This window comes from Homo sapiens, chromosome 5, assembly GCF_000001405.40.
Source record: "Homo sapiens chromosome 5, GRCh38.p14 Primary Assembly".
Lineage (NCBI taxonomy): Eukaryota > Metazoa > Chordata > Mammalia > Primates > Hominidae > Homo > Homo sapiens.
The window spans coordinates 104,174,373-104,193,302 of NC_000005.10; the positions used below are offsets into that span (position 1 = coordinate 104,174,373).

General features: G+C 38.9%; 1 annotated feature.

The window, feature by feature from the left end:
* Positions 15,576 to 15,870: an enhancer, noted in NCBI's record as "tiled region #14586; HepG2 Activating non-DNase unmatched - State 24:Quies, and K562 Activating DNase unmatched - State 8:EnhW". NCBI's record gives its function as "activates a minimal TATA promoter and a strong SV40 promoter by Sharpr-MPRA in HepG2 and K562 cells {active_cell/tissue: HepG2 | K562}" and the evidence as "EXISTENCE:reporter gene assay evidence [ECO:0000049][PMID:27701403]".

Genomic DNA, 18,930 nt, shown 5'->3' on the forward strand with positions numbered 1-18,930 from the left:
GAGAAAATGTAATTTCAGATTCTTTGGTTTGATAAAAACAATTAGTATCAGAGGATCTGCTACCACAGTTTATGTAGGAAGCCAAAAAAATATGTTGTTTCAGCGCTAATAATGAAATCTTGGTCATCTACAAAATTTATAGCTAGAGTATTCATATTAACATTATAAAAGCTAGATTTCAGAGTATAAATTCATATTAGTGATAATAAAGAACATTTCATAATGACAAAGGAGTCAATTCACCAAGAAGACATACCAATTCTAAATGTATATTCACATAGCAACAGAACTTTGAAATACATAAGGAAAACTCTGATAAAACTGGAAGGAAACATGGGAAAACTAAAATGAGGAATTGGCCAACATTATCTGCCCACTAAATCAAATTAATTTTAATAGAAAACTCCAGCCAAAAACAATCAAACATATATTTTTTCAAAATGCACACAAAACATTAATCTATATATATATTATATTTAGGGCCACTAAACAAACTCAATAAAATTAAAATAATAAAACATCATTCAAACTATTTTTTACAGATTGTAACAGAATTGAACTAGAAGTCAATAACAAAAAGATATCAGGAAAATTCCTAATTATTGGAAAATTAAACAACTTAATTGTAAATACTTAATAGTTCAATTTAGAAGTCTCAAAAAAGTTTTTATAATATTTTGAATTGCATTTTAAAAGAAGAAATTATTTCAAAATTTGTGGGAAGCTGCTCAAGCTGCTGAGATTAAAATTTACAGCATTAAATGATCACATAAGAAGAGGAGAAAGTTCTCAAATCAGTAATATAAACCTCTACCTCAAAAAACTAGAAAAAGAAGAGCGAATAAAAACTAAAGCCAGAAGAAAAATAAAAATAATAAAGATAATAGCAGATATTGATGAAATTAGATACACCAAAGCAATGAAAAAAACCAATGACATGAAATACTGCTTCTTCAAACAGATCAAGAAAAGTGATAAAAATTTGTTAGATTGATCAGGAAAAAGACAGAAGGCACATTTATAAATATCAGAATGAAAAGGAGATTATCACTACTAAATCCCACAGATGTAAAAATAACAATACAGCAATACCATAATAAACCCTAGGCTCACAATTTTGAAAAGTTAGATAATATTGATTAATTCTTTGAAAGACAGAAGCTAACAAAACACTCAAGGAAAAGCAGGCCATCTCATTACACTTAATTATATACAATATATAAAATTTATGGTTAAAATCATCCAAGGGAGAAAACTACAGACCAAAATTATTTCACTGCCCTATTCTGCCAAACAATAAAGAAACAATACCAATTCTATACCTCTCTTTCAAAAAAGGGAGGAAAGAATACTTCACAATTTATTGTATGAAGACAGCCTTAGTCTATACTGAAAGCAATATATAAATAAATAAACACAAAAAACCTATATATCACTATCTCTCATGAACATAGTTGCAAAAATCTTTGATGAAATATTTTCAAACTATATCCTACAATGTATAAAATACAGAAATACATTATGGTCAATTTATATTTTTCCTAGGGATGCAAGGTTGGTTCAGCATTTGAAAATCAATAATTTGTTGGATCAGTAGACTAAAGAAGAATAAATAATTATAAAGTTAGATGTATGAACTAGTATTAGATAAAATTTAATGTTTTCATGATAAAAATCTCAGCAACTCAAGAAAAATGTGAAGGAAACTTTCTTAACTTCATAAAATGTATCTAAAACAAATTCACAGTTAACCTTATACTTAATTGTAAAAGACTGAATACTCTCACTGAGATAGGAAACAAAGCAAGCATTTCCTCTTACATAATTTCACCCTGTTGGAAGATTTGCCTTGTGTAATAAGGCAATAAAAATGAATAATAAATAGATTAGAAAGAAAGGAATAATACTGCATCTCTTAGATTTCAAAAATCTAATGGGGGACACTTCTAGAATTAACAAGTGAGTCGGGATGAGACAGAGGATTCAAACTAAATACAGCAAAACTGTTGTTTCTATATATTAGCAAATAACAATTGGAATACAACATGAAGACCAATACCACTTACACAAGTATAAAAAAGTGAATATTAGGTATAAATATAGTAGAATGTATTTTTAATATCAGTATGCTGAAAACTATAGAACACTGATAATAGAAATAGATAAATTATACTCATTGATTGGAAGACTCAATATTTTTAATAGGTTAATTTTCCCCAAATTGATATAGATTCACTGAAATCTCATTAACGTCCCAGTTGGATTTTTGTTTTTTTAATAAGTGATCACAACCACAAATTTTTGAAAACATCTTTTTATACAGATGTTCATTATGTTATATATTTATGTAATGCATATTTTGTGTTTTGTTTATTTATTTAGATGGAGTCTCACTCTTGTCGCCCAGGCTGGAGTGCAGTGGTGCAGTCTCAGCTCAGTTATTTTAAGTCATTGAACATATTTATAATAGATAGGTCCTTGACTATCAATTCTATTAACTGGGTATATGAGGAGTTTGTTTCTTAGGAATATTTATTTTATTTATAGTGGATCATATTTACTTCCTTTTTCTCATGTCTGTTAATATTTTGTCATACCCTTACCATTGTGAATGATACATTGTCTAAATTTTGAATTCTATCATCTTGCCCTGAAATGTGGATTTTGTTCTACCAGGCTAAACTACTGATTGATAACTTTGAAGTTGTAATTCTTGATCTACACTTTGTTAGGGCAGATCTATGGAAAGCCTGAGATGTTGACCAAAACCCTCTCATCTGGAAGTGTTTAAACTGCAAACTCCCTCTTTCTGAGGTGGACGGTATCTTAAATCTTTGCTTACTACTTTGAGCTTTTAACTTGCTGTTTTCTGGTGTCTGTTCTCCCTCCATGTATAATTTAACTGTCTGTAAAGAGGTTAAGCGGCTATTTATGTGGAGATTTTAGGATTCTATTCACTATAATCCCTCTCTTTTGGAAGTCCTATTGGATTCTCTGACAACTCAAGCCTATAAGATTATGGCTTTCAGCTCTTCTGCTCAATTTCTATTTGTTTGACATCATTTTTGTATTATGGAATATCTTCTGAGGAAAAGCCATGTTTAATATAGATTTACGGGTTAGTATGCTAGATGTTTAGGGTTAGTATGCTACATTCTAGTTTCAGTTATGCACTTATAATTTTAAATTTCGTTTTTATTTTTTGAAATATAGTTTTGAGATATTCATATACTATAAAATTTATACATGTAAAGTATACAATTTACTGGAGTTTTAATAGTATATCTCAACGTTGCATAAACACTACCACAATCTAATTTCAGAACACTTTCTTCACTCCATATGGCTCAATGTGTTTCCATACTTATGACCCTGGCGACCACTAATCCACTTTCCACCTCTATGAATTTGCCTACTTGGCATATAAATGAAAGTATACAATAGTGATATAGGAGTTAAGAAGGAATCACTTAAGCAGATAATAAGGGTATGAGAGTCCTTGGTAAGGCTTTTCTTTTTAATGAAAAGCAGCCACAAATTATTTTCTAACAAAGAGCAGACAGTAAAGACAAGCTGCAAACAGACAAGAAAGCTGGGAGTTTGCACAGGTGAATGCCAGCAGGAACTAGGGGATACACATGTTCAAGATGGTGGCTCCATCTTTCCTTCTCTGCCAGCCACGTGTACAATAAAGATCAGACAAGATGGTACTGGCCAAGGGGAGAATTTATTTTTATATTAAGATTAGGATGGGGCAACCAGCCGTCCCTGAACCCTATGTAAACATCATACCTGATCTAACCAATCTGTGAACGCTGTGTAAATCAGACACTGCCTCCTCAAGCCGGGATATAAAAACTGGTGTGTCCACCGCCAGCTGGTTTTTTCTGCTCGGAAGTCTTCTCTCAATAGAGAGAGCTGTTTTTCTTTCTCTTTCCTTCTGCTCGGAAGTCCCCTCTCAATAGAGAGAGCTGTTTTTCTTTCTCTTTCCTTCTGCCTATTAAACCCCTGCTCCTAAACTTTTAGTATGCGACCATGTCCTAAATTTTCCTGGCTTGAGACGATGAACCCTGGGTATATAACCCAGACAACATAGTTGCTTTATACTGGAGATCTCGTCCAGGATACCAAGGTAAAACATTTATCAAAATGGTGAGTAGAGGAGCAAACTCCAACTCTGTCCTTTCATTTCGGGGCTCTTGCCCTCCATTTTAGAACCAAATCAAATCAATAAAGGGCATCTGTCAGCCAGGTAAAAACACAGTTAATGTGGCTGCTGTTCTTAAAGACCTAGATGTGAAGCTTGCTGAGGAGAACATGGAGAATCCCCTGCAACCACGGGTTGCTGGACATGTTGGCCATGTTTGAACCAGCTTCCTTTCATGGAGGACTTAACTGTTGCATGGGGCTGAAAGAGGTTTCAGTGCAACTAAGGATTCCTGGCTGGGGCTATCCCCTGGTTTTATCCAAAGGCTTCTGGACTGACCCCAACCTCTGACCACCCAATGGGGTGTCGGCTACATAATCTCCAACTTTTCTATTGTAATTTCCTCCTTTCCTCTCCACAACTGCCATATCTCCTATGCTCTCTGCATATGCAATATGTGGGAAGTTTTACAGTTCAGGGAAGTAATCTTATTTGGCAAGATCAAGGAGTATTGTAGTAACTGGGGATATAGCTCAAGGGAAGGCGTCTTTCTGATTTTCTAAAAACAGAGGGTCTCCCTTCTACACCGAGCATACTCTCTGCCCGTGGTCTGGAGAGCACCTGGCATTTCTAGGTCACTCTCTGCCCCTGGTCTGGAGAGCACATGGCATTTCCAGGTCTCTCTCTGCCCTTGGTCTGAAGAACACATGGCATGTCAACGTCACTCTGCCCTTGGTGTGGCGAGCACATAGCATTTCAAGGTCAACAGCACCACCTAGTGGCATCGAGATAATCTCCATGAGGCACACCATTGGTTCGTTACCAAAACACTCTTAGCTTACCAATTCTCTTCCCTTTTTGTGCCTCTCTACTAGAAACCAGCCTTCATGCTCCTGTAAATGGCGAAATTCTGCCTTCAACAACTAGGAGTAACATATTATCCGGAGCTAAATTCTAGTCTCAATACTGTCCCATCAGCAGGAAAATAGCCATTTGGTTCCCACATTCCTTTAAGTCACCTATTCTGCCTCTAATTAGAATGGTATTTAATTAGTAAGGGGATTTTTAAGTTCAGAAGTTAACCAGAACCATTTTCTAAGGTTAAATGCTTTAGCATGGGCTATAACAGTAGGATATGGAGCCCAAATCAACCCACTTCCTCCATTAAGGAGGAAAGTGCAAAAGTTTCCCAAAAGCAACTTTCACATAGTCTCTCGAGAGATCCTTTTTTTTTTTCGGGGAGCTAGGCAGGTCATACAAGTCTAGGAAGTCAAAGGGGAATCACAGGCAGAGAACTACAGCTGCATGGTGGGCGTGACTAATCCCAATCTCTTAGTTCCTCTGGTTCCATGGCTGGGGGTCACACCTGCAACCATGGGTGGCACATTCAACAAGGTGCCAGGACCCAGGAACCACGGAGGGGAAACAGCTGGGGGACACCCACACTGTCTTCCTCCCAACTCTGGGTCATACCAAAAGGAAGAAGGCAAAAGGGATACCTTTTTCTCACTTCTCTTTCTAGATGGGTAACAGGTTATCTTCGGGCTGTACTCCTCTGGAGTGCATTCTGAAGCACTGGGACTCCTTTGACCCTGAGACTTTGAAGAAAACATGGCCCATTTTCTTTTGCATAAGGGCATGGTCTTTTTACCCTCTTGAACCAGCCTGGCTTGTGGAAGGAAGCTTAATTTTAATATTAACTGACAGTTAGATCTTTTCTGCAGATGGGAGGGCAAATGGTCCAAGGTACCTTATGTGCAGGCTTTCTTTTGCTCTGCGTGACAACCCATATCTTTGCAAACATTGCACAATTGACTCAGCCCTTTTACCTATCATGTCAGACGGTCCCAAGGGGAATGATTCCCCAAGACTAGAAAAGCAAATTCTGCAGAAACCATCTGAGGCAGCTATTGAGTGTGCCAGCCCTTCCAGTCTCCCTTATCTGGGGCCACTTCCAACCATGCCACAGATCTTCCACCTCCACCATCTCCAAAGTTTCCCACTTTCACACATTCACTGTTCCCTCTACAGGAAAGGCCCAATGGAGGTGATGCCATTAGGGTTCAAGTTCCCTCCTCATTGCAAGCTCTTAGGCAAGTAAAGGGAGACCTAAGCCAATTTTCTGATGACACTGATAGGTATATAGAAGCCATCCAAAATTTAACTCAGGTATTTGACCTCTCCTGGAGGGATGTTATGCTGCTCCTAAGCCAAACCCTAACCACAGCTGAGAGGCAGGTAGCTCTGTAGGCAGCAGAGAAATTCAGAAATGAGCAATGTGTCTCCCGTAGTAGGTCTAAAAGAAAAGAGAAAATAGGGAAGGTGAAGAAATAATGGAAACTCCATTCCCAAAAGGAAGGAAAGCAGTTCCTCTTGACAACTCTAATTGGGGCCCTAATGATGCTACAGATGAATGGAAAAGGAAACATTTTTTAATGTGCATATTTAAGGTCACACCTGCAACTATGGGCAGCACATTCAACAAGTGCCAGGACCCAGATCTAGTGCCAGAAAAACTTGGACTAAACCTCTTAATTACTCTAAACTGTTCATGATAGATCAAAAGCCAGATGAGAATCCTACAGCCTTCTTGGAAAGACTGAGAGAGGCACTAATAAAGCACAACAATAATCCATAAACTCTTTAGCCTCAGTAGTAATACAGAATAGACAGGCCCTAGATGTCCTTACAGCCAAAGGAGGGGGACCTGGGAGTCTTAAATGAAAAATGCTGCTTCCAGATCAACACCTCTAGTCAAGTAGAAGAAAACCTACAGTTGCTTAAAGATCAAGTTAAAATCAATTACAGATTAAAAGAAAATGCAGGCTCCAGCCCTGGATGGCTACAATCCCTCTTTAATGAATTCTAGTCTTCTTCGTGAAACTGGCTAGTGACATTGTTAACTGGTTAGTGCCCCCTCTTGCTCATATGTTTTATATTAACGTCTGGACCTTGTCTACTCAATACTGTTACTCAAATTGTTTACTCTTGCCTAGAAGCAATCCAATTCCAAATGGTGCTGCAGAGTGAACCACACATGGACACGCCTTTCTTCCGAGGACTCTTAGTTCAACCCCAGGAGGATCCCTACTTTCTGTTCCTCACACTGCTTTTCAGCAGGAAGTAGCCAGAAAGAGTCATTGACCAACACCCCTAACAGCAGTTAGGGTTACCACTCCTGAGTGAGGAAGGACATAGGAGTTAAGAAGAAATCACTTTAGCAGATAGTAAGGGTAGTGTAGTCCTCAGTAAGGCTTTTCTTTTTAATAAAAAGCAGCCACACATAATTTTCCAACAAAGAGCAGCCTGTAAAGTCAAACTTCAGACATAGAAAAGAAAGCTAGGGTCTGGGCCTGGTGGCTCATGCCTGTAATCCCAGCACTTTGGAAGGCCAAGGTGGGTGCAACACCTGAGGTCAGGAGTTCAAGACCAGCCTGGCCGACATAGTGAAACCCCGTCTCTACCAAAAATACAAAAACTAGCTGGGTGTGATGGCAGGTGCCTGTAATCCCAGATACTCGGGAGGCTGAGGCAGGAGAATTGCTTGAACCTGGGAGGCAGAGGTTGCAGTGAGCTGAGATCACGTCATTGCACTCCAGCCTGGGCAAGACAGCGAGATTCCATCTCAAAATAAATAAACAAATAAGTAAATAAACAAATAAATGGAAAGAAAGAAAGCAAGAAAGCTGGGAGCTTGCACTGGTGAATGCTGGCAGGAACTAGAAACTAGACATGTTCAAGATGGCAGCTACATCTTCCCTTAGCCGCCAGCCACTTGTACAGTAAGGATCAGACGAGATGGCACGGGCTGAGGGGAGAATTCATTTGCATGGTAAGGTTAGGGTGGAGCAACGAGTCTTCCCTGCACACTACGCATACACCATACCTGACTGAACCAATCTGTGATCCCTACGTAATTCAGACACTGTCTCTGCAAGCTGGACTGTAAAACCTAGCACATCTGCTGCCAGCCATTTTTTTCCACTCAGGAGTCCCCTCTCTTAATAGTGAGAGCAGCTTTTCTTTCTCTTTTCTTCTGCCTATTAAACCTCCACTCTTAAACTTGTGTGTGTCTATGTCCTAAATTTTCCTGGCATGAGATGATGAACACTGCATATATACCCCAGACAACATAGCCGTTTCAATACCTGTACTTTTGTGTCTGATTTTTTTTTTTTTTTACTTAGTCTAACCATTTCAAGTGTTTATATTGAAACACTTTCAGTAGTTCATTACTATTTGTGACCAAATAATATTACATGTATGGATATACCACATTATTTAATCCATTCATCAGTTGATACACACTGGTATTGTTTCCACTTTTTGGTAATTGGGAATAAGGTTACTATGAAGATTCTTGTACAAATTTTTATGTAGATGTGTATTTTCATTTCTCTTGGGAATATACCTAGGTATATAATTGCTGGGTGAGATAGTAACACTATGTTCAACATTGTAGGAACTGCAAAACCCTTTTCCACAGTGACAGTACCATTTTACATTTTCACCAGCAGTGTATGAGGGTTACAGCCTCTCCACATTATGGCTATATTAGCTCACTAGGGTTGTCATAACAAAGAATCACAAATTGTGTGGCTTAAAAAATTTATTTTCTCACAGTAATGCCCACTAGAAGTCCATGATCAAGATGTTTGCAAGGTTTGTTCCATCCAAGGGCTCTAAGAGAATCTGTTTTATGCCACTCTCATAACTTCTGGTGTTTTTTGTCTTGTAAATAATATCATTTGTATCTCTGTCTTCATCATTACATGGAATTCTTGTTGTGTTCTTGTCTATTTCTGTGTTCAAATTTCCCTTCTTAATAAAGAAAACAGTTATACTGGATTAAGTCCCCCAGTGGTGACCTCATCTTAACTTGACTGCATCTACAAAAACCTGGTTTGCAGATAAGGTCACATTCTGAGGTACTGAGGTTTAGGACTTCAATATATCTTTTTTGGGGAGACAAAATCCAATCTGTAACACTCATCCACATTGTTATTGTCTTTTTGGTAGTAATCATCCTAATGGCTATGAAGTGGTATTTCATTGCGGTTTTCATTTGCATGTTGTTAATGACTAATTATGTTAACCTTCTTTTTATGAGCTACTAGACATTTTATCTTTTTGGAGATATTTATATTCAGATGCTTTTCCCATTTTCAATTTACTTATTTGTTCATTATGCGTGGTAAAAGTTATTTATTTATATATTCTGAATACAGAATATATAAATGTGAGAAGTACACACCCAATTTCTGAGGTTACTATGAAAATATATGATTTGAAAATATCTTCTTTCATTTTGTGTTTTGTTTTTTCTTTCCTGACAATGTCCTTAGAAGCACCAAAACTTAATTTTGATAAAATCTGCCTTATATATTGTTGCTTATGCTATTTGTTTTAGATCTCTAAGAAATCATCCCCTTTTCCAAGTTCATTAGGTTTACCTTTATGTTTTTTTCTAAGTGTTTTATTATTTTAGTACTTCAAGTGTTTGATCCATTTTTAGTTCATTTTTGGATATGATATGAAGCAGGGGTACAACTGCCTTGTTTATGTATAGATATCTTGTTTTCCCAGAGCCATTTGTTGAAAACTCTTTTTTTCTCCACTGGAGAAATTCACATAAAATTTAAAGAAAGTTTGTGACAGTAAAACAAATAATAATATGTGAATTATATGATGTAAAAGAAGGGACATATTAAGAGACTACATTGAGACACTACTAAAAAAGTTTTTCCCACCATGTCTGTCAATCATTTCCACCACTGGAGTAATGACTACTTCCATATATAAACCAAGTGTTTCTGAACCCACATTTTATCAACTGTTCTACATGTTTGCCTCATTCTTGATTTTTAGGTACTATACTAATTTTACTTCGAGTCCTCTCTAACACTGGAATGCACTGGAGGTCTTGGCACATACATTTTTTGCATGTTGACTCAGTAAACATACCATATATATGACTCTAATACTGATTACACGTAGTAATCAGCATGATTATAAAATACCTATAATAAAATTCGGAGAAAAGGAAAGTAAAATTTATCAAAATATTTGTCCTCCCTGGAGGTGTATTTTCTCTTTATAATGTTTCTCTCTATTTTATAGAACTATAGACTAAGATACAGAATATGGTAGCAGAGACTTTAATATATAAAGTTTGTATCATGTATTCTAATTTTCTGTAATAGTCTATATTGTTTACCAACCAGTAGAAATGTTAGAATTTCATTCAAGATGCTGAGGAATGAGCATAAGAATCTGTATATGGACAATATGAATCAGAAGATGAATATTTTGTACCTGAGAAAAGAATGTATTAGTATAATGAGAACTAACTAAATAAATATATTAAAGGAAAGTGTAGGCCAGTAGGAAAGAGCAAAAGAAAAAGAGAATAATGCAGAAACTTTATCAATAAATGGAATCAGTACTACAGTGGACTGAGACAATTGCAGTCAAAGTGTTGGGAAGCAATAACTTGAGCAAATGTCACTTTTTCTTTCCAAGAAATTGTTGTATCTTACCTTGTGCACATGGAGTCATAATAATAAGTGTCAAAACTGTAAAGGTCTGACATTTTATCCTATCTACAAGTTTACAAGTTAGCCTAAAGAAGTTCTGTAGATATTGGCAGAAGACATGATGCTTCTGAGATGAAGACCTTTACTACTCATGACACATCAAGAAGTATAATCTTCAAAATCATATCATTTCCACAGTGATGATGAGCCCAGGAAGATTCCATGAATGCAATGAGCTTCTATCACAGATGAGGAACCCCATATATAAAGAACTCCCGATTTAATAAGGAAATATAAGAAAACCTGCCCAATCTTTGTCCCAGAGGAAGACATTATCTTTATTATCCTGGACAGCAAATAATTCTACCTTCTGCCCTAGTGGGAGAGAGTATCATTCAAGGTTGCTCATGAAACAAGTATTATTGAAAAGAAGATAGAGAACTAGTCTGTCACAAGACTTGTTTAAATGTGAGAAATCCATGTAGAGTGGTTTCCAAAAATCGGTCACAGAGAAAGAAAGCAACAAAGCATTTAGGTTTCTCAAAGCATCATCTTAAGCAATGATTTGGATGGAACTTGTTGCAGACCACTAAGTGACATTGTTACAGTGCATAGCTAGTTCAGTATGAGCAGTGCATAAGAGGGTTTTCCACCCCCCAACACACACCAAGAGTAATGGTCAGGCGATTAACTGTCTCTCTAAAGTAATAATTGGTCACAGCAGTGCCAGGAAAGGCAGTCTCCTAATAGAAAAAAAAAAAAACACCTAAAACTGGTGATCAGCAGCTTCCCAGTAAGATCTCAGGAGTTGGGAGAGTGGCAAGCAGTAACACAAGACCCTAGAAATATGCCAACATATAAAACCCCAAGTCAAAAGTTCAAGCCGTGCACTTGTCTTTCAAGTCACCTACTTGGCCCTCTTCCAAGTGTACTTTCCTTTCTTTCATTTCTGTTCTAAAGCTTTTTAGTAAATTTTCACTCCTGCTCTGATACTTGCCTCAGTCTCTCCATTAGCCTTTTGCCCTTCTGTCATATTCTTTCTTCTGAGGAGGCAAGAATTGAGGTCACTGCAGTCCTCTATGGATACAAATTTGCCAGCACTAATATTAGTAAATGAGGAGTGTAAGGAAAATAGATGTGCTGTAGTCAAAAATAGGCGGAGGCAGACATCTGGTGCAGCATGACTCAGCGGGTTTGGAGTGCAGGTGCACAACTCTACACATTATGCAACCACGCCACGTGAGGCGCATTAGGTAATCACCCATGTGAGCTTGTGCTTGGCTCGGAACCACTGTTGTCTGTAAAAGTTATAAATACCCCGCTGACACTGTACATATGGCTTGTGCCCAGGCTCACTTGTGCCCAGAGAGAGAGTAAAGCCATGTTGAAATTGTCTACTATTCCTTAAGTATTTTTCTAGCTACCCAGCACTCACCCACTGACTCCCCTCAGACCTTAGTTAGAACCTGACAATTAGCATCACAAACAGGATCCTGAGCTGTGCTGCTTGGATGGGATCCAGTAGAAACCTGGGCAGTGGTAGATGGATCCTCTGCAAGCGTGGAGAAGCTGCTGAAGCAGCTGGAAGTGCAGAGCACCAAGAAGGAGCTAGCTTTTGCCAGCAGAGTTGGACGGGCATTTTTCACTGTGCTATGAGAAGTACACACCCAGTTTCTGAGGGATGTAGTGCAGGTAAGGGCTCTCCAGGTGCAGGCAGGGCACCTGGAGGCCTGGCTGCACAGCTCAGAAAAAGAGTTAGAAGCTGCTATGAATGGGGACCTTCAGGCACAGGTTGGGTGCCTGGAGGCCTGGCTACAGAGCTTGGAATCGCTGCTATGGTGGCTCGGTCCCACAGATGGGATCAAGGGTTCTATGCTGTAAAGAAGGGAAAGATTTCCCACCCACAGAGGGCCCCCCATGGGAGAAAAGGGGTTCCCAATGAGTGACATGTTCGCAGATGTGGATAGATTTGATTTTCGCCAGCGTTGACTGAGAGGAAATTGGTAAGCAGCCCAATGAACTACTCTTAACTTTGTTGAAACAGTTGTCTCCAGAGCAGCAATTCCAGAAAATGCCCAAGGGGAAGAAGGACATTGCTGAGTGACCCAGTCCCACCTGGGTGCTCCAGCCCAAAGACTATGTGCTGCAGCCAGGTGGGGGTGTAAAGTTTTTTCTGTTTGATTAGAAAACTGGCCTAGGTGCCCACCTTGTGGAGACACCGGATGACTGGAGACCACATGTAGACTTGTCAATTGAAGTCCCTGCACCTGGATAATTTCTGGGCATGGCTGCATAGACAGTTATGAAGACCAGTTAGTGAAAGTTAAACCTGTATCTTTGCCCCTTGGCATCGGCCGCTTGGCTCCTTGCTTATGTACTGTGTATGTCTCTCCCATACCTGAATACATTTTGAGGGTGGATGTTTTACACAGCTTGGCAGCTATGCCATCTGTCATGGACTTGATGGACCACTTCACGACAGAATTGGGACAGTACCACTATGTGGTGGATTTGACCAATGCATTCTCAATTAACATTGCCCTAGAGAGCCAAGAAAAGTTTGCCTTCATGGGAAGGTGACCATGGACTTTCACAGTGTTGCTGCAGGGCTATATGCATGGCCCCACCATATGCCATGGTCTTGTTGATAATATTATGTTAACCTCTAATTCTCTTGCAGATTTAGAAGCAGCAGCACTCCTCTTGCCTGAGATTGGGATAGTGTGGCTGAGACCGCCTTCCTGGCAGCCAAGCAGGCTATTCAGTAGGCACAAGCTTTGTGGGTATTAGACCAGGGGCACCTGTTTGAGCTGGGTGTGCATGTGACCACAAATGGTTTCAGTGGGGCCTGTGGTAGCATACGGAGCACTTGAGAATGCCAGTAGGCTTTTGATCCCAACTATGGAAGGGAGGTGAGCTCCAATATTCCTTGATAGAGAAACAGCTAACATCTGTATATGCCACCCTTCAGGCTTGTGAGAGTGTGACAGGATGGGCTACAGCCATTGTACAGATGACTTACCTGATAGTGGGATGGGTACATTCACGGGTAATGACACCCCTGACTAGGACAGCACAGACATTCATTTTAGCAAAGTAGGATGCCTACTGAGAACAGTGGAGTACATTAAGAATGAGTCTTTTAGCAGGAGAGTTTCAAGAGGTCTTGGGACCTGTAGCCCTAATTCAAGATAAAGCCATGGGGCCTGAGGCACCCCTAGACCTTGAGCCATCACCATTTAGGGAAGTGCATCCCCTCATTCACAATGAGGCATGGCACACAGATGGGTCTAGTCAAGGTGCTACTGCTGCTTGGACTGCTCTTGCTGTCCAACCTAATACTGACACCATATGGTTTGAAACTAGGCGTGGACAAAGTAGCCAGTGGGCTGAACCCAGAGCAATGTGCATGGTGATCACCAAGGAGGCGATACCCATAGTAATCTGCACCAATAGCTGGGCAATTTATTGAGGTTTAATCTTGTGGTTAACTACCTGGAAGTTACAGAAGTGGCTAGTCACCAGCCCATGTGGGGCCAAGTCATGTGGCAAGACCTATAAGAGGGAGGATGACCTTCTCTGACCAGGTATGGGGATGAATGGTAACCTGCTGTTGCCTGCCCCCATGCCTCTAAAGGTAGAGAAATAAAAACCGGCTTAATGTATAAAGCAACATTGGGGTAACATCACCATGGGGTGGTTGTCTGCCATAACTTGGAGTTGTTGCTCCCTGTACTACTGCTGTGGCCTCTGGGTCCAGGGTTCTTCCCTGTGGGCCTGTCTCTCCACTAGAAGAACTCCCTCAGCCAAGGGGATGGAATGTAAAGCCTGTGTATCTGGCCTGTGTGCCCAGAGCTAATGTGTCAAGCCTGTGTATCTGGAGTCTGTGCCCAGAGCTTATGTGTCAAGCCTGTGTATCTGGCCTGTGTGCCCAGAGCTTATGTGTCAGGCTTATGTATCAAGCCTATGTGTGTCAGGCCTGTGTGCCCAAAGCATATGTGCAAGGCTTATGTGTCAAGCCTGTGTGCACAAAACCTATGTATAAGGCTTATATGTCAGACCCATGTGTCTAAGGCCTATGTCTCTCTTGGCCTAGGGGGTGGAGTATAAGGAAAATGGATGGCCTGTGGTCAAGAATAGGCCAAGGCAGACATCCAGTATAGCATGACTCAGTGGGTTTGGAGTGCAGGCACACAACTCCGCACATTATGTAACCATGCCACATGAGCTTGTGCTTGGCTCAGAGCCACTGTTGTCTGTAAAAGGTATAACTACCCTGCTGATGCTGTACATACGGCTTGCACCCAGGCTCGCTCATGCCCAGAGAGAGAGTAAAGCCACGTTGAAACTGTCTATGATTCCTTGAGTGTTTTTCCAGCTACCTGCCACTCACCCACTAACTGCCCTTGGTGCTCAGTTAGAACCTGATAAGAAGCAACATAGGGATTATGAATAAAGAATATTAAAGTTTTCTTCTATGCTAGGGAGTTCTTGAATTTTTCACAGCTGTTTAATCTCCCACTGGCATCAATTATACATGTTGTAAATAATAAATATAAGCTTTGGACATCCATATTCCTTTTCCTGCCCTGTTGGATATCATTGTTACACGGCAGTAGATTGGAGATGGAGCAGGATGGAAAGTCATCCATATGATAGTCATATCTAAAACTAACATTGCATTTACTCTGTACCTGAAACAGTTCTAAATGATTTCTGTCAATTATGACATTTAATTTTCTCAACAACCCTGACTGATTACTGTTATTGCCATTTTACAGAAGAGAAACCTGAGGCACAGAAGACCTAATTAATTTTCCTAAGGTCACAGAGCTAGTCAAGGGCAGTACAGGATTTCATCCTAGACAAGTTTTTATCATTGTGCTACAAAGCAAGAGCTGTCCTTTGAAGTTGTTTATGTATTTTTCCCCACATAACTTTTATCTGAAACTTTTGAACTATGATTTCAAGCTAAACCTATTTAGGTTGTGGCAAAAATACACGTGCTGGTCTGAAACTGAGCTCAGTTGAACATTATAGCAACAACTGGCTGAAAGGAAGGCTGTACATTTGGGACAGGATATGAGTCACTGATGGTTATCGGTATCCAAATTACTTGGGTTTCAAAATTTTTCTAAGTAGATTTAATTTGGTTTCTACATTTTTATGCTTTTCTTCTTAAACTATCCTTTACATTTTTTAAATTTACATTATCCCCCAAAAGCTTTAGTAAAACTTAACTTATAAAACTCTATTTATAATATTTAAAGCTAATTTAGTCTAATTTCATGATCCAAACAGTAAAAAATGGCTCATGCAAAGTACTTTTTGGATGTCTCACATTCTTTCAAAATGTATCTTTCATATAACTTTGCTTTTCTCTTCACAGCCAGGTTGTATATTACATCAAATTGTTGTTTTAATTACCAGGTTTTTACTAGTTGAAAATTGACTGTTATTAAAAAACCATAGTATATTACATGTAAGGTTGATATTTTGGGGAGACTAGGAAATGATAATAAAAACAAAGTAAATTTAGTATTCAGATTTGGAATAAGGTGCACATGCAAATATATTTACACATTTTGGAAATAATTTAGAATAATCTTGTGGAGAATTACCCCAGACTATTTGAAATATGATTAAATGTGGCATAGGTCCACAGTTATCTGAACAGTTATTGTGCAGGATCATTAACAGTTGGTGACTTGATTTTAAACTGTTAATTTGAAAATGACCTTCAAGCTAGGTATGATTGATATGGGTGACATTAATCCATTAATGTTCGCAGTGTGACATTTATCCAAGTTACTGTAATCAAAAGACAGCCAACTATTAGAAAGTAAAAGGGAGTGTTTTTGTAAGTACACGGAAATGTCTTTCTCTGTGTAGAAATTTCTTGTTGAAGTATTTTGACTAGAACCAATTCAATAAATACAAGTTGTCTGATATTACAAAGATTGATTTTAAATAAACATGTTGACACCTCTATGCAAATAAACTAGAAAATCTAGAAGAAATGGATAAATTCCTCGACACATACGCTCTCCCAAGACTAAACCAGGAAAAAGTTGAATCTCTGAATAGACCAATAACAGGCTCTGAAATTGAGGCAATAATTAATAGCTTACCAACCAAAAAAAGTCCAAGACCAGATGGATTCACAGCCGAATTCTACCAGAGGTACAAGGAGGAGCTGGTACCATTCCTTCTGAAACTATTCCAATCAATAGAAAAAGAGGGAATCCTCCCTAACTCATTTTATGAGGCCAGCATCATCCTGATACCAAAGCCTGGCAGAGACACAACAAAAAAAGAGAATTTTAGACCAATATCCCTGATGAACATCGATGCAAAAATCCTCAATAAAATACTGGCAAACTGAATCCAGCAGCACATCAAAAAGCTTATCCATCATGATCAAGTGGGCTTCATTCCTGGGATGCAAGACTGGTTCAACATATGCAAATCAATAAACGTAATCTAGCATATAAACAGAACCAACGACAAAAACCACATGATTATCTCAATAGATGCAGAAAAGGCCTTTGACAAAATTCAACAACGCTTCAGGCTAAAAACTCAATAAATTAGGTGTTGATGGGATGTATCTCAAAACAATAAGAACTATCTATGACAAACCCACAGCCAATATCATACTGAATGGGCAAAAACTGGAAGCATTCCCTTTGAAAACTGGCATAAGACAGGGATGCCCTCTTTCACCACTCCTATTCAACATAGTGTTAGAAGTTCTGGCCAGGGCAATCAGGCAGGAGAAGGAAATAAAGAGTATTCAATTAGGAAAAGAGGAAGTCAAATTGTCCCTGTGTGCAGATGACATGATTGTATATCTAGAAAACCCCATTGTCTCAGCCCAAAATCTCCTTAAACTGATAAGCAACTTCAGCAAAGTCTCAGGATACAAGATCAATGTGCAAAAATCAAAAGCGTTCTTATACACCAATAACAGACAAACAGGGAGCCAAATCAAGAGTGAACTCCCATTCACAACTGCTTCAAAGAGAATAAAATACTTAGGAATCCAACTTACAAGGGATGTGAAGGACCTCTTCAAGGAGAACTACAAACCACTGCTCAATGAAATAAAAGAGGATACAAATAAATGGAAGAACATTCCATGCTCATGGGTAGGAAGAATCAATATCGTGAAAATGGCCGTACTGCCCAAGGTAATTTATAGATTCAATGCCATCCCCATCAAGCTACCAATGACTTTCTTCACAGAATTGGAAAAAACTACTTTAAAGTTCATATGGAACCAAAAAAGAGCCTGCATTGCCAAGTCAATCCTAAGCCAAAAGAACAAAGCTGGAGGCATCACACTACCTGACTTCAAACTATACTACAAGGCTACAGTAACCAAAACAGCATGGTACTGGTACCAAAACAGAGATATAGACCAATGGAACAGAACAGAGCCCTCAGAAATAATGCCGCATATCTATAACTATCTGATCTTTGACAAACCTGACAAAAACAAGAAATGGGGAAAGGATTCCCTATTTAATAAATAGTGTTGGGAAAACTGGCTAGCCATATGTAGAAAGCTGAAACTGGATCCCTTCCTTATCCCTTATACAAAAATTAATTCAAGATGGATTAAAGACTTAAACGTTAGACCTAAAACCATAAAAACCCTAGAAGAAAACCTAGGCAATACCATTCAGGACATAGGCATGGGCAAGAACTTCATGTCTAAAACAGCAAAAGCAATGGCAACAAAAGACAAAATTGACAAATGGGATCTAATTAAACTAAAGAGCTTCTGTACAGCAAAAGAAACTACCATCAGAGTGAACAGGCAACCTATAGAACAGGAGAAAATTTTTGCAATCTTCTCATCTGACAAAGGGCTAATATCCAGAATCTACAATGAACTCCAACAAATTTACAAGAAAAAAACAAACCCATCAAAAAGTGGGTGAAGGATATGAACAGACACTTCTCAAAAGAAGACATTTATGCAGCCAAAAGACACATGAAAAAATGCTCATCATCACTGGCCGTCAGAGAAATGCAAATCAAAACCACAATGATAATCCATCTCACACCAGTTGGAATGGCAATCATTAAAAAGTCAGGAAACAGCAGGTGCTGGAGAGGATGTGGAGAAATAGGAACACTTTTACACTGTTGGTGGGACTGTAAACTAGTTCAACCACTGTGGAAGTCAGTGTGGCGATTCCTCAGGGATCTAGAACTAGAAATACCATTTGACCCAGC